Below are 21,597 nucleotides of genomic sequence, written 5' to 3' on the forward strand. Positions count from 1 at the left end.
AGCAGACGGACCAGCTGCCAACCTCGTCCACTCCAGGAGGCAGGGATGGCCAGGCTCCCACGCCCTACTGGCCGCTACCCGACCACCAATGAGGCAGAGGCCTGAGGCCAGTCGGTGCTGGAGCCCTACTTCCAAGGTCCACAGACCGCTTCAGGCCACAGAGCCGAAGAAAACTGGGCATGTGAAGGCCCAGGAGGCGGGGTCCCTATGTCTGCCATTCTTGGCAGGTGCATTTCACGCTGGGAGCAAGTCAGGAAAGGTGATGCCTCTCACCGCCAAGAAGGCTCCCAGCAGAGACCAGAGCCACCGGCACAGATCCCCAACCCCTGAAACCACCTCCCTCTGGAGGACCAGGACGCCCTCCTAGTTGGTAGAAGCACAGTAAGCTCTCTGTCCTTATGATCTGCCTGCTTGTCCAGAGCTCTCTGCCAGAAGCCGTGGACACTGGGGCAGGCGGGAGGAGAGAGCACCACAGCCCAGACCCCTGACCGGCCTCTCCCAACCTCCCCCTCCCAAAGGCTATGGAGAGCCCAGGGCTGGACAGGCCTGAGGTTCCGACATACCTCATGCCAGGCCACACGCGCACCGTGTCCCACCCTCAGCCGAAAACCAAGATCAAGACCATCCAATAATTTACTGTGATCCCATCTGTGCCCGACAAGGGCCCACAGAGGCCTGGGAGGGGAGCTAAGGGCTGGGGTTCCGGTGGCATTTGGGATGTTCAAGACAGTCTGTGCACAGCCTCCCTGGGAGGGTCTGCAGTCACCTCGGCCCACGGTCCCGGGGTGACTGGGCTCCAGCAGCCCTTCCTTCCTTCCTTGCTTCCGTCCTTCCTTCCTCCTCCTTCCGTCTGCACCTCCTTCCTGCATCCGGCACCTCCATGTCCTGAGCTTGTGCTGGGCGGGGCACAAGGGAGGCTGCTGACCGCAGGCCAGGAGACCGGCAGGGGCGGGGAGCCGGGGTCATCCGGTGGGCGTGGCGGCCGCCCTGGGAGTCCCCCTCACCTGCGTCAGGAGAGCACACACTTGCAGCTCATGCAGCCGGGGCCACTCTCATCAGGAGGGTTCAGCTTCCGCAGCTTGTGCTGCCGGATCTCACGCACCAACGTGTAGAAGGCATCCTCCACTCCCTGGGAAAGGAGGGATGGGATCAGGAGGGACCGGCCTGTGGCCGCCTGCCTGGGTGAGGGGCTCCCTGCTGTGGGATCAAGCCTTGCCTGGCCCGAAGCTCCCGACTCCACCAGCCACTTCCCCAGGCCCACCACACACACGGGAAGCTGGACTCTGGCCATCTCGAAGTGCCCAGGGCCACCCGCATCATGCTACAGCAGCCCCTCAAAGGTCAGGGTGGCCCGGGGCCCTCCTGAACTCCAGGTCTGGCCAGGGTTTGACCACCCTGCACCCAGCTCTCGACTCAGCTACGGCCCGTGTCCCCAGTAGCCCCACTAAGACTCAGAACCAACAGGTGCCCGTGGGACACTCTGGGGACAAGAGGGGCCGGGCCCCAGGGTCACCGCTCCGGCCTGGCTCAGGGCAGCTCTCCCCAAGGACCTCCGCCTTCCCCGGAGCTGTGTCGGCCCAGGACTGCAGGGCGTGAGCCCAGACCCCGGCCCTCGCCTCCCTCACTGCCCTGCCGTCCCGGGAGACTTACAGCGCGAGGGGCCGCTGGGTCACATGGGTCCCGGGGGGTCCCAGAGGGTCCCGGAGCTGGAGCTAGAGCCAGAGCGGCTGCCCTGTGTCAAGGGAGAGGGTCAGTGAGTGCTGCTCCCTGGCTGGGGCGGGGCGGGGCGGGTCCCTGGCTAGCTGTGGGGTGGAGAGCTGCCTCACCTGCCGGGTCTTGGCCGAGGTCTCGATGTAGGGGATGCCGTAGCTTCGGGCGAGGTCCTGAGCCTGCCGAGATTCCACAGTGCGTGCAGCCAGGTCACACTTGTTCCCCACCAGCACCATGGGCACGTCATCCGAGTCCTTCACCCGTTTGATCTGCTCCCTGAGAGGTGGAAAGCGAGAGCTGGCTACGGGGGCTGCAGGCGCAGCGGCATCCAGGACATGCGCAGAGAGGACAGGAGGCCCCTGCCTGGACGCAGCCGGCCTGGCCCCACCTGTGCGGCGTGGGCTCCCGGGCCAGCCTCACGGGGTTCACCTGTACTGGTGGATGTCCTCAAAAGACTTGGTGTTGTTGATGGCAAACACACACAGGAAGCCCTCCCCGGTGCGCATGTACTGGTCCCGCATGGCGCTGTACTCCTCCTGGCCGGCGGTATCCAGGATGTCCAACAGGCACGTCTCCCCATCAATGACCACCTGCTTCCGGTAGGAATCCTGCAGGAGGACAGGGCTCAGGGACCCCCTCAGGACCTTCCGTGGGGGGAGTTCACACAGCCAGCCTCTCCCTGGTACCTCTCATGCCCCTCATGCCCCCTCCTCTCCTGGGGTGCTGAGACGAGGGACTCCCCTCCTCTAGAGGAAGCAGGAGACAGGGCCACAGCACCATGCAGGGGACCAGGGGCTGCAGCCAGCCCTATCCTGGCTGTGTCCTGGGCTCGCCCGCAGCAGCTGCTGGCACCTGGACGGCGGCGCCAGGCTCACCTCTATAGTGGGGTCGTATTCGTCCACAAAATGGTTCTGGATCAGCTGGATGGTCAGCGCACTCTTGCCCACACCGCCGGCGCCCACCACCACCAGCTTATATTCCGTCATCGCTCCTCAGGGGCCTGCGGCCCGGGGTCCTCCTACAGGGTCTCCTGCCCCACCTGCCAAGGAGGGCCCTGCTCAGCCAGGCCCAGGCCCAGCCCCAGGCCCCACAGGGCAGCTGCTGGCAGGGCCATCTGAAGGGCAAACCCACAGCGGTCCCTGGGCCCCAACGCCAGGCAGCAAGGACTGCAGCGTGCCTACCTGTGCAGCTGCAACCCAGCGTGCGGGAGGGCTGTCGCCTCGCCCCCACTTGCTCTTAATGACCCAGTGATGGGAAAAGGGACCCAGCCCTCAAAGGCAGGGCTGACAGCTGAGCGCTCTCAACCACGCACCCAAATTAGAAGCTGCTGGGTCGGCAGAAAGGCTAAAGGGAGGCGCCCGAGGGCTGAGGTTACCGTCCTCCAGAACAGGTCTGGCCACGGCGGAGCGCGCCACGGCGTGCCCGGGCAGGCTAGTGCCAGCCTGCAGGCCCCGCGGCGCTGGTGCCTCCGACAAGTATTTGCTGAGCGCCTACTGCGTACTAGGCGCCGCCGAGGGGAGGGCAGACCCGGGCAGCGCCCCGCACCCCCGGCGGGGAACCGGGGGCATCTTTCAGCCACAGAAAGCTGGAGAAGACAGAGGAGCTCCTGGGAAGCAGGGACTGAGCGACAGGAAGGGGCCGAGAAGCGGCGCGGGAGACCCGGAGAGGGAAAAGGCACTGGGGCTGAGGCCCCCGGCCTGGTCCGCGACCTGTGATGCTGAATCGGGGGTGCCCGGGCGTGCCGTGGCCGCGGCCGCCTCCTCCCAGACGCCCCCGGGTGTGAGGGCGCCGGGCCCGAGGCTCCCGGGTACGCCGGCGTGGGGACCGTGCCCAGCGCGAGGCCACGGGTGGGGCCCGGATTCCCGCAGGCCCCAGGGAGGAAGGGGCCCCCGCCCGCCGCAGCCCCCGACGCCCGCTCACCTGTGCCCGCGGGCCCCGCCCGGCCCCACCCACCCGCCGCCGCCGCCGCCGCCGCCGCTTACGCCCGCCGGCCCCGCGCCCCCGGCCCGCGCCGCGCGTATTGCTGCCGCCTGGGGGCGAGGAGGGCGCGCGGCCCGGCCGATCCCTGCCCGCACTCACCGTTCACAGGCGCGACTGCCCCCGGGGCCAGGGCCGGGGCCGAGGCCGGGGCGGGGCGGGGGCGGGGGCGCGCGGTTCGCCCCGCGCATGGGCTCCGTCCGCGGCGGGTGCGGCTCGGGTTGCGGGCGCAGGGCACGGGCGGCGGAGACTCGGGCGGGCCTGCGCACGCCCCGCCCCGCGCCCGTCCGTCTGCCAGGCGCGGCCTACCATTGGCTGCGCGCCATCGGGCCCCGCCCCACCCCGGTTGGCTGAGCGGCCCGTCTGTCAGGAGCCGCGGTCGGGCGGGGCTTCCGGGAGCAACGCGGGAGGCGGAGCCAGTAGGGCCGCGGCCTCTCGGGGTTGGGCTTGGCTGGAGACCGGAGCCGAGCTCGGGGTTGCTCGAGGAAGGCCAGGGAGCCGGTGTCTGGGGGCCCGGGGCGGCATCTCCGAGCAGGGCCCCGGGCTCTCCCGGGAACAGGCCGGCGAGAGAACCCGACTCAGCGGTGCCGGTGCACCAGAGGCCCTCCCTGCGCCGGCAGCGCGGCGCCGCCCACCGCGGAGGTCCCGGGGCTACGGGCTGGGGAAAGGCTGGGATCCGCCGGGACCAAGGCGGGATGCTCGGAGCTGGGGGCCCCCGGGTGGCCGCGGGGTCCGGTTGCCCGGCTGCCCTTCCGCGCAGGTGGAGCGGCCGCGCACCCCACCTACCACCACGCACCCCAGCTCCCCTACTCCCACCGCAACCCACCCCGAGGACGCTTGCAGCCCCGGTGGGGTTCCGGGCGGCGGGCGCAGCCGTGTGCCCTGGGGCCAGGCGTGAGAACGCCCCCTCCACCACTCTCCTCTTTCTCGGGCCTGCGTGGCAGGCGACCCTGCCCGCCCAGTCCCCCCAAACTTGAGGTTCCAACGCTGCAGAAGCTCAGCGTGGTCCAGTTAAACCGTACCCACAAGTTGCCACAGGGGAGCGAAGTGCCCAGGGCTCACCCCAAGCACATAGACGCACATCCTAGCTCTTTCAAACCCAAAAAGACATGTTTTTAACATTTTTTAAAATTGCAAAGGAATCAGAAATACATCCTCATTAAAAAACAAAAAGGGCCGGGCGCGGTGGCTCACGCCTATAATCCCAGCACTTCGGGAGGCCTAAGCGGGTGGATTACTTGAGGTCAGGAGTTCAAGACCAGCCTGGCCAACATGATGAAACCCTGTCTCTACTAAAAACACAAAAAATTAGTCGGCTGCAGTGGCGCGCGCCTGTAGTCCCAGCTACTCGGGAGGCTGAGGCAGGAGAATCGCTGGAACCCGGGAGGCGGATGTTGCGGTGAGCCGAAATCGCGCCACTGCACTGGGCAACAGAGCGCTACTTCGTCTCAAAACAAAAAAGGCGTTTTACAGTCAGGCAAACCCTGCCTCTGCCCAGTCCAGCGCCCGCCTCGCCCTCCTGCGCCGGTCGCTGCTGACCCGGGGCTCCACCCACGTGCGGTCCCGGGGGTCCCGCCTGCCGTCCGTCCACCGCGCGGTCGCAGTCAGAGCTCGGCTCGGGGCGGACACGCATGAACGCGAGTGAGAAGCGGCGACTGGACGGCGGGCGGCAGCGTGTCCCGCGGGCCGGGCACTCGGGTGCGCTCCGGCGTCCGGTGTGTGTTTCCTGGTCCTCGGGGGCGCTTCCCCCGGTGCTTCCTTTTGCCGTCGGCCTCACTTCCAACCGAAGGTCAGGACGGCAGGCCTCGGCCCCAGGGGCGACCCTTCCACCTGGGAAAGGTGGGCGCGAGCCTCCAGCAGAGACCGCCTTTACCCGCCCCGCGTGGGAAGCGCCAGGATCGCGAGGAAACGCGACACGTGCATCGCGACGGCCCAGGCACGGAGCCGCAGGAAGCTGGCACCTGACGCGCCTGCGCCCACCCAACTCGAGTTGGTGGCGCGTCACCTTCCCCTGGGATCGCCCGCAGCAGGGGCGCCCACGCACGTGCCAGTCCACGTGGCCCCGCCCTAGCGACCGTTGCTAAGGGGCGTGGCTCAGCCGCACGGAACCCGAGCCCCCGGCGACTTATAAATATTTGCGTATTCAAATGAGGCCTGGCTCCCGTTGCTATGGCGCCCAGGCCGCAACCCCGCGGCGGCCGGAAGAACAGCCTGGAGTAGGAGACAGCGCCTGGAGGTGGAGGGCGCCCAGGGCCGAGCTGCCAGGGCCGGACACCTAGGCTGAGCCCTCAGGTGAGAGCCGAGCGCACCCTTGGGGTGGGAGCCGCAAGCCTCGCCCTATGACCGGTGCCAGGAGGGAACCTGCGCCGAGGCGTGGGCGCGGGGACGAAGCAGCACAGCCATCGGGGACCCAGTGATGGCCCCGCATGTCAGATCTGGTCCCCTGAGGACCCTTGCCTCCACCACCCCCTGGCCCTGCACTGAAAGGGCTCCCTGTCAGGAGACAGGAGGGGCCCCAAGCCCTGCCCCTGAGGGAGACTCAGAGGCAATGACCCAGGGTGCTCAGGGTTCCAGGGTGGGGCTCAGGAGGGGAGCGGGCTCTGCCTTCCGAGCCCCCATGGTGAAGGGGCGAGGGCAGCAGGGGACCCAGAGGTGATGGCTACCCACCAGGGAATGGCACTAGCAGGGGTGTGGAGACAGGCCCCCCAGTTACCAATTTGGGGAGCATGGGGGCTTGCAGAGGGGACACAGGGTGGGAGCAGGGCCGTGAAGTGTGTGGATGGGTTCAGGCCTGGGTGAGAACACTAGGTGCAGTGTCTGAGGTGGGAGTTCAATGGGGTCTTTGGATCCCACAGCCTCCAACCCCTTGCACCCCCAGGCCTTGGGGCTCAGACCAGTCTGATGCTTGGGGCTCTTGGGCACAGAGGAGACAAGGGTAGCTGACTCAGCCCTTAGTGTCACCCATAGGTGTCCAGGGGCTGCCCGTGACCCCGCCAGCTCACGCCCTCCATGAGGCTCGAGGCTGGCAGGCCTGGGATGGAGGTGGCCAGAGTCTTTGGGGGGATGCAGTGTTGGGGTCCTGCTGTGAGGCCTGGGGCCTTGCACTGGCTGGAGAAAGGCAGGCAGTGGGGGAGATTTGGGCTGGAAACTCCATGAGATTCTGCTTTGGGCTTCACTTCTTTGATCCTTGGTGCATGGTCACCTTCCAGACCAGGCCAGTGAGGCACCCAGAGCCTGAGCCACTGCCCCGCTCCAACACTCCCACCCACCACCTCTGTCAACAGCCGGCCAACTCGCCTGGCACAGGGGCAGCTCTAGACGGGATGGAGAGGATGCATCTTCAGTGTCCACACGTGGTCAACAGATAAAAGCCATGGCCAGAACGTTCTAAGTGGCTACATGTGCATCTGCCTGTTCACGGATTCCTTCGACAAATATTTGAGCATCCCCTCCTGCGACTGTGGACAGCAGAGGAGCACGCAGGCCACGTGCAGGCCACGTGCAGCCCACAGCTCTGGGGCGAGGCAGGCCCTCAACCGAACACGTAGTAAGACACACAGGGCTCCGAAGGGAACTCGTCTCATCAGGAAGATAAATCTGGGAAGGCTGGGTGGGGAGTGCAGTCAGGGGATCAGTCCAGGTCCAGACTGAAGACACATGAAGGTGGTCAGGGAGGAGGACACTGGACGCTCCGAGCACACTTGTCACTCCACGCCTGGAGCTCATGATTCCAGGGCCTGGGGCCGAGGCAGATGTCTGCATCTTTGTTTGTTTGTTTGTTTTTTGAGATGGAGTCTCTCTCTGTCGCCCAGGCTGGAGTGCAGTGGTGCCATCTTGGCTCACTGCAAGCTCCACCTCCTGGGTTCATGCCATTCCCCAGCCTCAGCCTCCCAAGTAGCTGGGACTACAGGCGTCCGCCACCACGCCTGGCTAACTATGTTTTTTGTATCTTTAGTAGAGATGGGGTTTCACCTCGTTAGCCAGGATGGTCTTGATCTCCTGATCTTGTGATCTGCCCGCCTCAGCCTCCCAAAGTGCTGGGATTACAGGTGTGAGCCACCGCACCCAGCCTTTTTTTTTTTTTTTTTTGAGACAGAGTCTTGCTCTGTTGCCCAGGCTGGAGGACAGTGGCGCGATCTTGTCTCACTGCAAGCTCCGCCTCGCGGGTTCATGGCATTCTCCTGCCTCAGCCTCCCAAGTAGCTGGGACTACAGGCACCTGCCACCACGCCAGCTAATTTTTTTTTTTTTTTTTTTGTATTTTTAGTAGAGACAGGGTTTCACCGTGTTAGCCAGGATGGTCTCAATCTCCTGACCTCGTGATCTGCCCGCCGCGGCCTCCCAAAGTGCTGGGATTACAGGCGTGAGCCACTGCGCCCCGCCAGACGTCTGCATCTTTAAGGGGCAACACCAGGTAAGCCTGATGCACGTAGTCGAGGGACACACTGGGCTTAGGAAGAATGGGATGCAAGAGAGGGACACACTGGGCCAATACCCTCAGAGGCCTGGGGAGGGGCTCAGGAAGAACAGGGTGCAAGAGAGGACCCCTGTGGAGAAGGAGGGAAGTGGGATTTGGATGAGCAGCAGGCATTGTGTTGGGGGACCCAGAGGTACCCCAGCATCGGTCACACACCTGACTCTCTTCCTCCTCGCCAGCTGGGTCCGTGGATAGTCAGGTCCTGGGCTGATCTGCTCACCTCTAGGTGCTGTGACCTCAGCCTGGCCCATTCCAGGCTCCCATGGGCACAGTAACCTGGCCAGGAAGCCACTCTGACTCTTGCAGGTACTGCCTGAGGGTACATGCCACCTCCTTGCCTGGATGTTTGACCCACAGCAGGAGAGGGCAGCTGCCTGCAGGTGAAGGGGCTCGGCTGGCACAGGGCTGGGGTAGGGGAAGGCCTGGGACTTGATCCTGGACCCCAGGCTCAGAGACCATCAGGTGGAGAAGGACCCATAGCCCACAGCTTGAGGCAGTGCCGGGAGCCCCACAGCCACCGGCAGCTGGCCCGGCACCCCAGGCTCACAGCCCCTGTGGGCCTCAGGTGGGGAGGCCTGAAGCCAGCACTCCCTGCATGGACCCTGAGGATGGGCAGAAACACAGGGAGGGTGTCCTACGAAGCAGAGGGGGTCGAGCCAAGGCTGGGGGAGGGGAGCGTGAGGCCCTCCAGGCTGGAACTAAGCAGACAAGGGCCCCATGAGGCCCAGCCAAGCTAGGAGCCTTCTCTAGGCTCGGGGTGGGGGTGGGTGCCAAGGGCTTGCTGTGACGGGGGCGGGGGGTTGAGGGCTGGGCCAGGGTCTCAGCCGGGCTGCAGAGGAGGAGGAGCAACAGCGTGGAGCTTTGCACTGTGCCTCTGTCAGCAGGTGACATGTGAATGGATCTGGGCTGGGACAGATCCCGTGGGCCTCGGCGGAGCACCTCCAGCGTCCGGGTGCGGGAGCTGAGCTGGCAAGGCCTGCACAACCCCTGCCCACAGAGCAAGGGCCCTGGCAGTCAGAGGGACAGACTTGGAGAGCAGCTGGTGGAAGAGTACCTGTCCCCTGCCCGGCTGGTGAGTGTGGGCGCTGGGGGCTGTGGCCACAGAGGCCTCCGTGGGGTGACATCCCAGGGCTCCTTCCTGCTGATGGTCCAGCCTGCCCTCTGTCCCCCTCCTGCTGGTCTTGCCTGCTGATGGTTGGCCTCAGCCCAGCCCCTGCAGCTGGGTCTGCTCCACCCACTCTGCCCTTGGGACCCCTACCAGGCCCCAAAACACCAGCAACACCAGGTGCTCAGTGACACAGACGTCCCCAGGCATTTGGGTCACAGACAGGACTGAGCCAGGCCAGAACCCACAAGTAGGGGCTGAGCATCCATTATCCTCCAACCAAAGAGGGGGGTCCTTCACTCAAGCGGGAGACCAGATGGCTCAAAGCTCAGGGCAGGGCCCGGCGCGGTCCGGGCTCTGGGTGCCGGGTGTGGTGTGTCTGCCCTGGGAGTCTCTCTGGAGACGGGCAGCCCCCAGGGCAGGTCCTTCTCCCGCAATGACCCCCCAGCCAAGTGCAGCACAAGCTCTGCTCCTGTCACATCCACTCCCATCCCACCACCCAGGCCAGGGCCAACATGGCCCAGGCAGGGAAACGTCGGTGCCTGCTCCAGCGGGAGCCCCAGAGTCCTGTAGCCAGAAGCAAGGATGGAACTAAAGTGGGGAGAGCCAGGACCAGCGCTGACCCCCGGTTGGTTTCTACAGCAGGCCCTGGCCCGGGTGGATGACCTTCGGCTGGTGAGGACGCTGGAGATGTGTGTGGACACTCGTGAGGGCAGCCTGGGGAACTTTGGTGAGCCTCTTCCCACCCCGCCATGGCCACGGCCACGGCCACGCCTCCCTGTAAACAACACACGTTTCCTGGTTATGACGACAAAGCTGTCCTCACCTCTCGGGCCGCGTATCGGCTTCCTTAGGGTTGGCCTCTGACCTGAGGTCTGTGTCAGGTACAGGCAGAGGGCAATGCACTCAGCACCCCGCACACCACACCAGTACCCCCAGCACGCTCAGTACCCCACACACCCACACCAGTACCCCCAGCACGCTCAGTACCCCACACACCCACGCCAGTACCCCCGGCACGCTCAGTACCCCACACACCCACGCCAGTACCCCCGGCACGCTCAGTACCCCACACACCCACGCCAGTACCCCCGGCACGCTCAGTACCCCACACACCCACGCCAGTACCCCCGGCACGCTCAGTACCCCACACACCCACGCCAGTACCCCCGGCACGCTCAGTACCCCACACACCCACGCCAGTACCCCCGGCACGCTCAGTACCCCACACACCCACGCCAGTACCCCCGGCACGCTCAGTGCCCCACACACCCACGCCAGTACCCCCGGCACGCTCAGTGCCCCACACACCCACGCCAGTACCCCCGGCACGCTCAGTGCCCCACACACCCACGCCAGCATCACAGAGGAACAAAGGCCAAAATGGTGCTGAGTGCCACTTGGTGTCTCCTGAAACTCATCTTGAAATAATCTCAGCCAGGCACAGGGGCCACGCCTGTAATCCCAGCACCGTGGGAGTCCAAGGTGGATGGATCACTTGAGCCCAGGAGTTTGAGATCAGCTTGGGCAACATAGCAAGACCCCTGTGTCTAAAAATAAAAAATTAGACAGGCATGATGGCACCTGTAGTCACAGCTACTCATAGGAGGTGGGGAGGTCAAGCTGCAGTGAGCTGAGATTGCACCGCTGCACTCCAGACTGGGCGACAGAGCAAAACCCTGTCGCAAAAAAAAAAAAAAAAAAAAAAAACACTCCCTCCCCGCCCTCCGCCAGGTTCCTTCTCTTTCGCCGTGTTCACGGTGGTGCTGGCCCCTGCTCCCTCCCGTGCGTGCACAGCGCGTCAGGCCACTGTTCTTTTTCCTGAACTAGTTGAGAGTTGGACATGCAACACCCCTTTATCTACTGACACTTCAGTGTGTATTTCCTGAGAGGGAGGACATTCCCTTAAATGCAGTGCGATGGCCAAAGTCAGGAATTACACCTGTACATGACTCTTAGCCATGCTGAAGACCATATTCAAATGTCACCAGCTGTCCCAACAGTGACTTTTTTTTTTTTGAGATGGAGTCTCATTCTGTCGCCCAGGCTGGAGTGCAGTGGCGCAATCTCAGCTCACTGCAACCTCTGCCTCCCAGGTTGAATTTTCCTACCTCAGCCTCCCGAGTAGCTGAGATTACAGGCACTCACCACCACGCCCAGCTGATTTCTGTATTTTTAGTAGAGACGGGGTTTCACCATGTTGGCCAGGCTGGTCTTGAACTCCTGACCTCAAGTGATCCACCCACCTCAGCCTCCCAAAGTGCTGGGATTACAGGATTACAGGGATGAGCCACCGCGCCTGGCCTGTTTTTTGTTTTTTTCATTGTTGTTTTTTTTAAGACAGAGTCTCTCTCTTGTTGCCCAGGCTGGAGTGCAGTGGTGCAATCTTGGCTCACTGCAACCTCAGCCTCTTGAATTCAAGCAATTCTCCTGCCTCAGCCTCCTGAGTAGCTGGGATTACAGGTGTGTGCCACCACGCCCGAGTAATTTTTGTATTTTTAGTACAGATGGGGTGTCACCATGTTGGCCAGGCTGGTCTTGAACTCCTGACCTCAGGTGATCCACCCGCCTCGGCCTCCCAAAGTGCTGAGATTATAGGTGTGAGCCACCACGCCAGGCCCCACAGTGACCTTTAGAGCAGGGAAGCGTCTTCCCACCCAGGATCACTGGCTGTCTGCATTTCTCCAACTGACTGAGGTGAACCAGGCCCATCTTGATTGGTCTTGTATTGTTTTGCAATGGCCTGTGAAGTCCCTGACCATTGTGTGTGGCTAACCCGCAGCCATCTGCACTCACTCGAGCCCTTCCCACAGGCATGGTCTTGGAGCGCCTGTACCCACACACTCTGCGCCCCTTCTTTTATTTTTTTTTTGAGACGGAGTCTCGCTCTGTCACCCAGGCTGGAGTGCAGTGGCGCAATCTCGGCTCACTGCAAGCTCCACCTCCCGGGTTCACGCCATTCTCCTGCCTCAGCCTCCCGTGTAGCTGGGACTACAGGCGCCCGCCACCATACCCGGCTAATTTTTTGTATTTTTAGTAGAGACGGGGTTTCACCGTGTTAACCAGGATGGTCTCGATCTACTGACCTAGTGATCCACCCACCTCAGCCTCCCAAAGTGCTGGGATTACAGGCGTGAGCCACCGCACCCAGCCACTCTGCAACCCTTCTCACAATGCAGGGATTCTGTCTGCCTCACAGGGGCATATGCCCCATCCTACAAAAGACTCCGAACGCAGAGCCTTTTCCTGGGGCCTTGGGCTGTGCAGAAACACAGGCTGGGGCGTGCAGTGATCTGGTCCTGTGTTGTGTGTGGGACTGTGCATGACGGTCTGAGATGCCAGGGGAGGGGTGTGGAGGCAGCTTGGGGGTGGGGCCCAGACTTTGAGCCAAGGGAGCACCACCCAGCCACGCCAGCCTGGCCCCAGTTCTCTGAGCCAACTCTTGGAGCCCAGTGGCCTCCTGCAGTCCATAGACAATGGTCTGAGCTTCCCTGCTGTGTGGACACCCCTCCATGCTGTGCTGCATTCAGGCTGGCTACAGACGAGGGGCGCGGAGCCGTGAGGCTTTGGGGGCTCAGGGCCACTGAGCCAGACCCTCTACCAGGCCCCATAGAATCAGCAGACCCCTTTGGTGGCCAGAGGAGCCCGCAGCCCTGGAGCAGTTCCTGGGTGCCACGTAACCCCTCCTGTGGTGTGGAGGGAGGCTTGTGAGGCTGGCCCACGAGCAGTGAGGGGCCGGGGGTGCTGATGCCTAGGGGTGAAGGAGGGTGCAGAGGTGGGCGGGGTGAGGGGCCGGGCCAACCTCCTCCTCCTGTGGCCATACAGGGGTGCACCTGCCCAACCTGGACCAACTGAAGCTGAACGGCAGCCACCTGGGCTCCCTGAGGTGAGCGCCTGAGGGGGGTGGGCTGGGGCCCTGCCATGAGGGGGTCCGATGGGACAGGCCCTGCAGGGATGGGGGGAGAACTTGGTGGGAGTGGGGGGACTTGGGCTGGGACCAGGGACCCAGGGGTCTAGAGAGCTCCATCCTGCTGGCTGCCTGACCCCACGTGACCCTGTGGAGGGTGGATGGGCAGGTGGGGGGAGCCTGGGACATTCAGGCAGGTGTGAGGGGGTCTCTGAGAGGGTCTTTGTTGAAAGGACGAGGTCCTGGGCCAGCCTGACTCCCGGGGGTCCTGCCTATGCCCTGTGGTCTCTGGCTCAGCCCAGATGTACCCCCACTTGCCGTGTGACCCCTACACATGGAGCTCTTGTGTCTGCAATGGGTGGGAGCCCCTGCTGCAGGTAGCACCTCACTCAGAGCTGGGGCCAGGGCCAAGGCAGTCATGCCAGGTCGTGTGGCCAGCAAACTCCACAAAGGTGCCCCTGACCTGGGCCCAGAGCTCCCACCTTGAGGTGTCCCTGGTGAACACCCCAAAGCCAACCAAGGACTGGGGGCCTTCTGGCCCCCGCACGGCTCATTGCAGCCCAGGACTTTGGCTGCACCATGAGGCCACGAGCTTGGGGTTTGGGCAAGAACGGCAACCACCAGCCAGAACCTGCACGTAGAACCCAGACCAGACGGCAGCCCCTGGGAGAGGCACAGCCAGAGCCTGTGTAAAGAACCCAGACCAGACGGCAGCCCCCGGGAGAGGCACAGCAGAGCCTGTGTACAGAACCCGGACCAGACGGCAGCTCCCGGGAGAGGCACAGCAGAGCCTGTGTACAGAACCCGGACCAGCTCCCAGGAGAAGCACAGGAAGCTCCGTGCCCCACAGCAACTCACAACATTCGGAGCTGAAGACGTTGGCGGCTCTCACGTCATCGGAAGGGAAAGAACAAGGCTGAAGGAACATCCGACTTTATTCTGGGGGTTTGGGCAAAGTGGGTTTTGTGAAAACGCTGCTGGTTTTATGTAGCCTGTTCCCAGCAGCATAAGGCAGGGGAATTCCAGGCAGAATTCTAGAACATTCTCCAGCTGTGTGAATTGGGCTCCAAGGGCCACATCTAGTTATTTCCAGATGAGGATAAGGGTATTCATTAAGCAACCTCTCTTTGAATGTTTTCTTGATTTTCCTTATTTGTACTTCTGTTTATCAAACAAATATCAAAATGGGCCGGGCACGGTGTCTCACGCCTATAATCCCAGAACTTTGGGAGGCCGAGGTGGGCAGATCACCTGAGGTCAGGAGTTCGAGACCAGCCTGACCAACATGGAGAAATCCCATCTCTACTAAAAATACAAAATTAGCCGTGCATGGTGGCACATGCCTGTAACCCCAGCTGCTCAGGAGGCTGAGGCAGGAGAGTCGCTGCAGTGAGCCGGGAGGCAGATGCTGCAGTGAGCTGAGATCACACCACTACACTCCAGCCGGGGCAACAGAGCGAAACTCTGCCTCAAAAAAATAAAGTAGGCCAGGCACAGTGGTTCACGCCTGTAATCCCAGTACTTTGGGAGGCCAAGGTAGGCAGATCACGAGGTCAGGAGATTGAGACCATACTGACTAACATGGTGAAACCCCGTCTCTACTAAAAATACAAAAAATTAGCCGGGCGTGGTGGTGGGCGCCTGTAGTCCCAGCTACTCGGGAGGCTGAGGCAGGAAAATGGCGTGAACCCAGGAGGCGGAGCTTGCAGTGAGCCAAGATCGCACCACTAAACTCCAGCCTGGGCGACTGAGTGAGACTTCGTCTCAAAAAAAAAAAAATACATGAAGATCTGGAAATGGAAGAAAGTTGGAAAACACTTTGGGGTCAAAGACACAGTGGGCAGCCCACAGAACTGGAACAGAGAGGGGCCTGGACATGAAGTCAGGCCTGCAGCAGGCACCCAGACGACACCGCGAACGAGAAACTAGGATGGGTTTGGAAAATGGACTTCTTAGAAACATGTCTCCCAGCCAGGCGGGTTGGCTCACACCTGTAATCCCAACACTTTGGGAGGCCAAGGCAGGCGGATCACGAGGTCAGGAGTTCAAGATCCGCCTGGCTAACGTGGTGAAAACCCATCTCTACTAAAAATACAAAAAAAAAAAGAAATAGCCAGGCATGGTGTGCGCTTGTAATCCCAGCTACACAGGAGGCAGAGGCAGGAGAATTGCTTGAACCCAGGAGGCGGAGGTTGCAGTAAGCCAAGATTGCTCCATTGCACTCCAGCCTAGGCAACAAGAGCAAAACTCCATCTCAAAAAAAAAAAAATTAGCTGGGCTTGGGCTTGGGCTTGGCGGTGCATGCCTGTAATGCCAGCTGCACAGGAGGCTGAGGCATGAGAATCACTTGGACCTGGGAGGTGGAGGTTGCAGTGAGCTGAGATCGCGCCACTGCACTCCAGCCTGGGTGACAGAGCAAGACTCCGTCTCAAAAAACCGTAAAAAACAAAAACAAAGAACAAAAAAAGTGCCCCTAATACAAGAGTAAATGATATTCTAATGGAGATGGCTGTACTTTTTTTTTTAGCTTAACAAATAAGCCTCTATTATTTTGTGTTTTTTTTTGTTTTGAGACAGAGTCTCACTCCGTTGCCCAGGCTGGAGTGCAGTGGCGCAATCTCGGCTCACTGCAATCTCGCCTCCCGGGTTCACGCCATTCCCCTGCCTCAGCCTCCCGAGTAGCTGGGACTACAGGCGCCTGCCACCACGCCCGGCTAATTTTTTGTATTTTTAGTAGAGACGAGGTTTCACCACGTTGGCCAGGATGGTCTCGATCTCCTGACCTCATGATCTGCCCGCCTCGGCCTCCCAAAATGCTGGGATTACAGGCGTGAGCCACCACGCCCGGCCAGAAGCCTCTATTGTTAAGACCAACAAATTAGCTCTAAGAACAACAAAAAAATATAAAAAGCACATAAATACACAAAATATAAAAGAGCAGTGGAAGGTACTATAAAATTAAATATGATGCACTACCTGTAACAAAACAAAATAGTTCCAAAGGAAAAATGACTAGGTCATAAATTGTATAAAAAATATATTCAGGCCAGGTGCGGTGGCTCACACCTGTAATCCCAGCACTTTGGGAGGCCAAGGCGAGTGGAACATGAGGTCAGCAGTTCAAGACCAGCCTGGCCAAGATGGTGAAACCCCGTATCTACTAAAAATACAAAAATTAGCCGGGTGTGGTGGCGGGCACCTGTAATCACAGCTACTCGGGAGGCTGAGGCAGGAGAATTGCTTGAACCTGGGAGGCAGAGGTTGCAGTGAGCCAAGATCGTGCCACTGCACTCCAGCCTGAGTGACAGAGACTCCATCTCAAAAAAAAAATTAAAAATTAAAAAATTTCAAAGGAACTTGTCATAAATAAAAGACTGAAAGGAAAAACAAACTGAATTATTGGCACTGAAACATATCCTAATAAAGTTACTGGCATGAAGATAAAGGTAAAAAGTTGGAGCAGCCAAGAAAAGAGATTGACTTGTCTTTTTTTCTTTGAGACAGGGTCTCACTCTGTCGCCCAGGCTGGAGTGCAGTGGTGCGACCATGGCTTACAATAGCCTCGACCTCCTGGGCTCAGGTGCTCCTCCCACCTCAGCCTCCTGAAGTGCCAGGATTACAGGCATGAAGCACTGTGCTCAGCCTCAAGTTTTGTTTGTTTGTTTGTTTGTTTGGAGACGGAGGCTCGCTCTGTCGTCCAGGCTGGAGTGCAGTGGCGCAATCTCAGCTCACTGCAACCTCCACCTCCCCGGTTCAAGCGATTCTCCTGCCTCAGCCTCCCAAAGTGCTGGGACTACAGGCACCCGCCACCACGCCTGGCTAATTTTTTTGTATTTTTAGTAGAGATGGGGTTTCACCGTGTTAACCAGGACGGTCTAGATCTCCTGACCTCGTGATCTGCCTGCCTCGGCCTCCCAAAGTGCTGGGATGACAGGCGTGAACCACCGCGCCCGGCCTCAAGTGGTTTTTTAAGGACAGAAATAACGAAGTGCTCCTTAGACGTCGCCACAGTGGACACTGGAACGAAAGGCTTTGCAGCCTCCTGGGAAGAGGCGTGAACTGAGAGTCTGACACCCAGCCTAATGGCTGCATAAGCTCACAGCCAGCAAACATCTGTGAGTCAGAGATCAAGGGGTTTCCATTAGCTGCTCTTGAAGAAATCACTAGACACAAATCCCAGCCAATTCAGAGCGGAGTGGAAAAGCCATTGAAGGCAGCAGGCTGAGGACAGACACTGACTCCACAGCGCGAAAGGACGGACCACCGGGAATGCACCTGAGGGCCCACAGAAGGAAGCTGAAAACACAGTGGGCGGAATGAAGCCCAGGTGAGTCACAGCCTACGGGTGCCGTGAACTGGACAGAAAGAAGATTTCCGAAGAAATCACCCAGCCCTGGAGGAATCTGTGGCTCCTCAGGGAAAGCCTGTGAGCTCAGGTGGCCCTTTCACAAGGAGAGGTGCAGAGATGGCGTAGCAGCGCTGAAGGGACGGCCTCCCAGCCGAGAGGGGCAGGTGCAGGGTCCCTGGGGACAGCGCATGGTGAAGTCACTGTGGCTACAGTGGGAACAGGGTGGGCCCGGCAGGAAGCAACCTGTCCCTGCACACATCAAGCCGCCCTGACCCACCGCCACCTCCAGCAGCTGGTCCCCACAAAAGCTGCCAGCTCAGCACGGGGTCAGCCTCCAGCGAAGCCCCCCACATCGGTGTCCAGGGGCTCAGGCTCCCAGGCAGCACTCCAGACCCTTACTCCAAATTCGAGTGCCCCAAACGCTACTGAGGAGACAATTAGAAAGAGAAAGGTGATGCCTGCAGCCTGCCAGGGAGGGGACTGAGCCACCCACTATGAGGGCAGCGCCTTGGGCACAGCTGAGCCACCGGTCACGAGGGCAGCTCCCCAAGCCAGGCCCTCCAGGGCTTGGAGAAGGTGGGGGACACTGTACCCACACCAGAGCCAGAAGGCCAAGGCAGAGAGCCCCTTCCTCAGTCTAGAGGCCACCATAGGTGGTCACACCTGCCCCTACCCCTGAAGACAGCCAAAGGCAGGTGGTGGCTGAGCACAGGGCTGGGCACATGTTGACCACCAAACCCTGCCTTCTGCAGGGACTTGGGCACGTCTCTGGGCCACCTGCAGGTGCTGTGGCTGGCTCGCTGTGGCCTCGCTGACCTGGATGGCATCGCCTCTTTGCCAGCACTTAAGGTGAGTCTGGGCACCCTGGGCTGGGGAGGCCTGGGCTGGGCCGGGCCCTGGCTCAGAGCCCCGCGCTGCCCAGGAACTCTACGCCTCCTACAACAACATCTCGGACCTGAGCCCACTGTGCCTGCTGGAACAATTGGAGGTGCTGGACCTGGAGGGCAACAGCGTGGAGGACCTGGGGCAGGTGCGCTACTTGCAGCTGTGCCCACGCCTGGCCATGCTCACCCTGGAGGGCAACCTGGTGTGCCTACAGCCGGCCCCTGGCCCCACCAACAAGGTGCGTGTCCCGGGCACCCGGCCAGCATGTGCATGGCCAGGAGAGGCTCCCTGTGGCTCCAGCCCCGGGGCCCCTCCTCTGGCCAGGTACTTCTGTGCCCACCCGCACCCTATGGCCTGCTCACCATGAGTTCACCTCCTCTGTCACTGGAAGTCTGACGGCTCCCAGGACACCCTCCTGGACCAGCCCCGCTAGATCCCACAGGGTCACCTGCACACACGCCATGTCCCTTAACCCACATATGCACCTGTGAGGTCCACACATAAGCCACGTGGAAACACAAAGAACCACGTGTACACGGATGTGTGCACACACACACCTGTGTACGCCCTGTCCAGAGCCACCTCCAGCCCCACAGGCCCCACAGACCACCCTATGCAGTATCTCGGGGCTCTGCGTGCCCTGCTCAGAGCTGGCACACCTGTGCGTGCAGGCCCTGGCGTAGCTCACAGACCCTACACAGGGCACATCTGCCCTGAGCTCACAGTGCTAGCCTCATTAGCTGCTGCTTGGTGCTGCCACATGCTGAGGTCAGCGTCTACCAGTGCCCAGTAGCTACTGCTCCGTGGGCCAGAGCCCTGAGCTGAGGGCAGTTCCATGGGCCAGAGGGCATCCCTGGACCCGGCCTTGGGTCTGGAGAGTGGGGTCCTACATCCTGAGCAGGTGAGAGCCCAGTCCCTCAGTCCCTGGGGTGTGAGAGTGACCCAAGCCCACCCCTGCAGGGTAGGCAGCATCCCCACCTCTGGGCCCCTGCCCTGCCCCACGGTGGGTCTGGGAAAGGGAGCCAGGGAAAGAGCTGGCCGGAAGGAAACACTGGACCCAGACCTGCCCTCCCTCCCCCTCCCCCTCCCCCTGCAGGTGCCCAGGGGCTACAACTACAGGGCAGAGGTGAGGAAGCTCATTCCCCAGCTGCAGGTCCTGGACGAAGTGCCGGCCGCACACACAGGCCCACCGGCCCCCCCGCGGCTGAGCCAGGACTGGCTTGCGGTGAAGGAGGCCATCAAGAAGGGCAACGGCCTTCCCCCGCTGGGTACGGCAGCTGCGCCCGGAGGACCCACTGCTGAGCCCCAGCTCCCCCCAGGAAGAGGCCCCCACCCCAGGCTTCTCAGAAACGGATAGCCACATCTCATGCGCTTCTCCAGCCTTGACCCCGGTCCCCAGAGCTGTGCACACCCGGCCCCAGGCCAGGACACTGTCTCTGAGCAGCCCACAGAGGGAGAGGAAGGTCTGAAGATGAGGGCCTCTCTAGAAGGCTGCAGCGTGAGAGGCCAGCCTCAGGCCATGCAGCATGGGGATTGGGGCCCCTGGTCTGTGGACAGAGTCTGGGGGGCGCTCTCAGGCTGGGCCTTGGTGACCTCTGCTTCTGAACCTCGGGCAGACTGTCCCCGTGGAGCCCCCATCCGGAGACTTGACCCCGAGCTGTCCCTGCCTGAGACGCAGTCCCGGGCCTCCAGGCCCTGGCCCTTCTCCCTGCTGGTCCGTGGGGGCCCCCTGCCTGAAGGCCTGCTTTCTGAGGACCTGGCCCCAGAAGATAACACCAGCAGCCTCACCCATGGTAACTGACTTGCCTCAAAGCTGACCCTGCAGCCCCTCGGCCCCGAACCAGGCCCAGCCATGCTGTCTCTTGCAGGTGCTGGCCAAGTCCTCTGTGGGAACCCCACCAAGGGCCTGCGGGAGCGTAGGCACCAGTGCCAGGTACAGCCCACAGGGACCAGCCCCCCACGAGAACCAGTGTCCAGGGTTGCGGCCCTGACAGTGCCCTGCCCTGCCGCCATTCCAGGGCCAGAATCCCTAAAGCAGTCCCTTTTCCTCCCCAGGCCAGGGAGCCCCCCGAGCAGCTGCCCCAACACAGGCCAGGAGATCCGGCCGCCAGCACTTCCACCCCAGAGCCTGACCCTGCAGACAGCTCTGACTTCCTGGCCTTGGCTGGGCTCAGGGCCTGGAGGGAACATGGCGTGCGGTGGGTGTCCCTCCAGCTCTTCCACTGGGTGTGTCCTGTCCCGTGGGGAAATCAGGGCTGGGGCTACCTTGGCTGAGTCATCCCCAGTCCCAAGGCTCGTGGACCATCCCTGCATGTCCTGTCCCGTGGGGGGATCAGGGCTGGGGCTACCTTGGCTGAGTCATCGCTGGTCCCAAGGCTCGTGGACCATCCCTGTGTGTCCTGTCCCGTGGGGGGATCAGGGCTGGGGCTACCTTGGCTGAGTCATCCCCAGTCCCAAGGCTCATGGACCATCCCTATGTGTCCTGTCCCGTGGGGGGATCAGGGCTGGAGCTTCTCCTCCTCTCCCCACCCTAGCCCCCTCCCCTATAGGCACCCGGAGTCCCAACAGGAAGGGGCTGTAGCCCCCTGGGGCCCACGGAGGGTCCCTGAAGAGCAAGTGCACCAGGCAGAGCCCAAGACTCCCTCCAGCCCCCCAAGCCTGGCCTCAGGTACTGAGCCTGCCCGCCTGCCCCCCAGTGCCTGGGAGTGACCAACACCCCACTTCTATAGGGGGGCCCTTACCCCAGATCAGATGTGTCAACCTGGCCCTGCTTCCTCAGCCATGCTCTGAGAGGGACTGTAACAGGGAGGCCCCCTTCTGGGGGTGGGGGGCTCACGACCAAGGGAGGCCCAACCCAAGTCCTCTCCCAAGCCACGGTCCAATCCCTGTGACCTTGTGTGCCACCCGGGCTGGACGAAAGAGAGGCGTTCCACAAAAGGGGGTATGAACAGAGTCCAGAGGAGTCGGGACAGAAAGAAGGAGCCACCCCAGGGCACCAGCAGGCAGAACATGGCCACTGGGCAGCTTTCAGGGACACAGGCATGAGTCCGGGGGCTGGGAGGAAAGGCGGCCAGCAGCCCCACTGGGAGACCAAGGCAGGAGGGTGCTGCCGCTTCACCCTGAAGATGGCACGCGCACTTGGGGACATAGAATTAAGCCATGCAGTGCCCTTTACGAAGGACACTGACT

At 61.7% G+C, this 21,597-nt stretch overlaps 2 protein-coding genes across 16 annotated transcripts in view, besides 12 other annotated features; one reads left to right on the forward strand and one right to left on the reverse strand.

Annotated features, from left to right (window-relative positions):
* The window catches only part of LRRC56 (leucine rich repeat containing 56), a 48,451-nt gene that overhangs the window by 25,165 nt on the left and 1,689 nt on the right, over positions 1–21,597 (forward strand). For 3 of the 12 annotated variants that reach the window (XM_047426336.1, XM_017017167.2, XM_017017168.2), the window contains exons 3-14: positions 6,897–7,234; positions 7,954–8,100; positions 9,045–9,235; positions 9,911–9,998; positions 13,094–13,154; positions 18,276–18,372; positions 18,446–18,646; positions 19,505–19,676; positions 20,025–20,201; positions 20,277–20,341; positions 20,464–20,606; positions 20,943–21,076. In XM_047426336.1, the coding sequence (XP_047282292.1) occupies positions 9,059–9,235; positions 9,911–9,998; positions 13,094–13,154; positions 18,276–18,372; positions 18,446–18,646; positions 19,505–19,676; positions 20,025–20,201; positions 20,277–20,341; positions 20,464–20,606; positions 20,943–21,076 (1,315 nt within the window). In that variant the 5' untranslated portion in view covers positions 6,897–7,234; positions 7,954–8,100; positions 9,045–9,058. Of the gene's footprint in view, positions 1–5,900; positions 5,980–6,896; positions 7,235–7,953; positions 8,101–8,451; positions 8,544–9,044; positions 9,236–9,910; positions 9,999–13,093; positions 13,155–18,275; positions 18,373–18,445; positions 18,647–19,504; positions 19,677–20,024; positions 20,202–20,276; positions 20,342–20,463; positions 20,607–20,942; positions 21,077–21,597 lie in introns of those variants that run through there. The other 9 variants (XM_011519876.2, XM_006718132.3, NM_001441283.1 and 6 more) reach the window with 9 other exon arrangements.
* HRAS (HRas proto-oncogene, GTPase) lies at positions 616–3,950 on the reverse strand. Of its 4 annotated transcripts, NM_001318054.2 has the most exons (7): positions 3,790–3,950; positions 2,586–2,749; positions 2,140–2,318; positions 1,827–1,986; positions 1,651–1,732; positions 1,005–1,129; positions 616–896 (listed from the first exon to the last, which is right to left on the reverse strand). In NM_001318054.2, exons 4-6 carry the CDS (start codon positions 1,955–1,957, stop codon positions 1,010–1,012), a joined length of 333 nt encoding a protein of 110 aa, NP_001304983.1. In that variant the 5' UTR covers positions 1,958–1,986; positions 2,140–2,318; positions 2,586–2,749; positions 3,790–3,950; the 3' UTR covers positions 616–896; positions 1,005–1,009. The 4 variants fall into 4 exon arrangements, with proteins under 4 accessions (NP_001304983.1, NP_005334.1, NP_789765.1 ...); NM_005343.4 differs by lacking the exon at positions 1,651–1,732; NM_176795.5 differs by having other exon boundaries at positions 616–1,129.
* Positions 2,166–3,023: an enhancer, noted in NCBI's record as "H3K27ac-H3K4me1 hESC enhancer chr11:533792-534649 (GRCh37/hg19 assembly coordinates)". NCBI's record gives its function as "activates a minimal SCP1, AML or CMV promoter by ChIP-STARR-seq in primed H9 embryonic stem cells {active_cell/tissue: H9 hESC(primed)}" and the evidence as "EXISTENCE:reporter gene assay evidence [ECO:0000049][PMID:30033119]".
* Positions 2,166–3,046: a biological region, named in NCBI's record as "H3K27ac-H3K4me1 hESC enhancer GRCh37_chr11:533792-534649".
* Positions 2,887–3,046: a silencer, noted in NCBI's record as "fragment chr11:534513-534672 (GRCh37/hg19 assembly coordinates)". NCBI's record gives its function as "represses an EF-1alpha promoter that drives an FKBP-Casp9 reporter gene in an ReSE screen in phorbol 12-myristate 13-acetate-treated (for megakaryocytic differentiation) K562 erythroleukemia cells {active_cell/tissue: K562(+PMA)}" and the evidence as "EXISTENCE:reporter gene assay evidence [ECO:0000049][PMID:32094911]".
* Positions 3,024–3,880: an enhancer, noted in NCBI's record as "H3K27ac-H3K4me1 hESC enhancer chr11:534650-535506 (GRCh37/hg19 assembly coordinates)". NCBI's record gives its function as "activates a minimal SCP1, AML or CMV promoter by ChIP-STARR-seq in primed H9 embryonic stem cells {active_cell/tissue: H9 hESC(primed)}" and the evidence as "EXISTENCE:reporter gene assay evidence [ECO:0000049][PMID:30033119]".
* Positions 3,902–4,609: an enhancer, noted in NCBI's record as "H3K27ac-H3K4me1 hESC enhancer chr11:535528-536235 (GRCh37/hg19 assembly coordinates)". NCBI's record gives its function as "activates a minimal SCP1, AML or CMV promoter by ChIP-STARR-seq in naive H9 embryonic stem cells {active_cell/tissue: H9 hESC(naive)}" and the evidence as "EXISTENCE:reporter gene assay evidence [ECO:0000049][PMID:30033119]".
* Positions 9,042–9,864: an enhancer, noted in NCBI's record as "H3K4me1 hESC enhancer chr11:540668-541490 (GRCh37/hg19 assembly coordinates)". NCBI's record gives its function as "activates a minimal SCP1, AML or CMV promoter by ChIP-STARR-seq in primed H9 embryonic stem cells {active_cell/tissue: H9 hESC(primed)}" and the evidence as "EXISTENCE:reporter gene assay evidence [ECO:0000049][PMID:30033119]".
* Positions 12,234–12,736: an enhancer, noted in NCBI's record as "H3K4me1 hESC enhancer chr11:543860-544362 (GRCh37/hg19 assembly coordinates)". NCBI's record gives its function as "activates a minimal SCP1, AML or CMV promoter by ChIP-STARR-seq in naive H9 embryonic stem cells {active_cell/tissue: H9 hESC(naive)}" and the evidence as "EXISTENCE:reporter gene assay evidence [ECO:0000049][PMID:30033119]".
* Positions 13,239–13,740: an enhancer, noted in NCBI's record as "H3K4me1 hESC enhancer chr11:544865-545366 (GRCh37/hg19 assembly coordinates)". NCBI's record gives its function as "activates a minimal SCP1, AML or CMV promoter by ChIP-STARR-seq in primed H9 embryonic stem cells {active_cell/tissue: H9 hESC(primed)}" and the evidence as "EXISTENCE:reporter gene assay evidence [ECO:0000049][PMID:30033119]".
* Positions 16,521–17,339: an enhancer, noted in NCBI's record as "H3K4me1 hESC enhancer chr11:548147-548965 (GRCh37/hg19 assembly coordinates)". NCBI's record gives its function as "activates a minimal SCP1, AML or CMV promoter by ChIP-STARR-seq in primed H9 embryonic stem cells {active_cell/tissue: H9 hESC(primed)}" and the evidence as "EXISTENCE:reporter gene assay evidence [ECO:0000049][PMID:30033119]".
* Positions 16,521–18,157: a biological region, named in NCBI's record as "H3K4me1 hESC enhancers GRCh37_chr11:548147-548965 and GRCh37_chr11:548966-549783".
* Positions 17,190–17,390: a silencer, noted in NCBI's record as "peak1148 fragment used in MPRA reporter construct". NCBI's record gives its function as "represses an SCP1 promoter by STARR-seq MPRAs in K562 erythroleukemia cells {active_cell/tissue: K562}" and the evidence as "EXISTENCE:reporter gene assay evidence [ECO:0000049][PMID:32103011]".
* Positions 17,340–18,157: an enhancer, noted in NCBI's record as "H3K4me1 hESC enhancer chr11:548966-549783 (GRCh37/hg19 assembly coordinates)". NCBI's record gives its function as "activates a minimal SCP1, AML or CMV promoter by ChIP-STARR-seq in primed H9 embryonic stem cells {active_cell/tissue: H9 hESC(primed)}" and the evidence as "EXISTENCE:reporter gene assay evidence [ECO:0000049][PMID:30033119]".

The sequence above is a fragment of the Homo sapiens genome, chromosome 11, assembly GCF_000001405.40.
Source record: "Homo sapiens chromosome 11, GRCh38.p14 Primary Assembly".
Lineage (NCBI taxonomy): Eukaryota > Metazoa > Chordata > Mammalia > Primates > Hominidae > Homo > Homo sapiens.

Bases quoted from the DNA above. Each gene is read 5' to 3' on its own strand.
- HRAS (NM_005343.4), bottom strand. From the start codon at position 2,696: ATGACGGAATATAAGCTGGTGGTGGTGGGCGCCGGCGGTGTGGGCAAG. The intron at 2,319-2,585 runs GTGAGCCTGGCG...GTCCTCCTGCAG, and splicing joins AATACGACCCCACTATAGAG to GATTCCTACCGGAAGCAGGT. The intron at 1,987-2,139 runs GTGAACCCCGTG...TCCACCTCTCAG, and splicing joins GAGGACATCCACCAGTACAG to GGAGCAGATCAAACGGGTGA.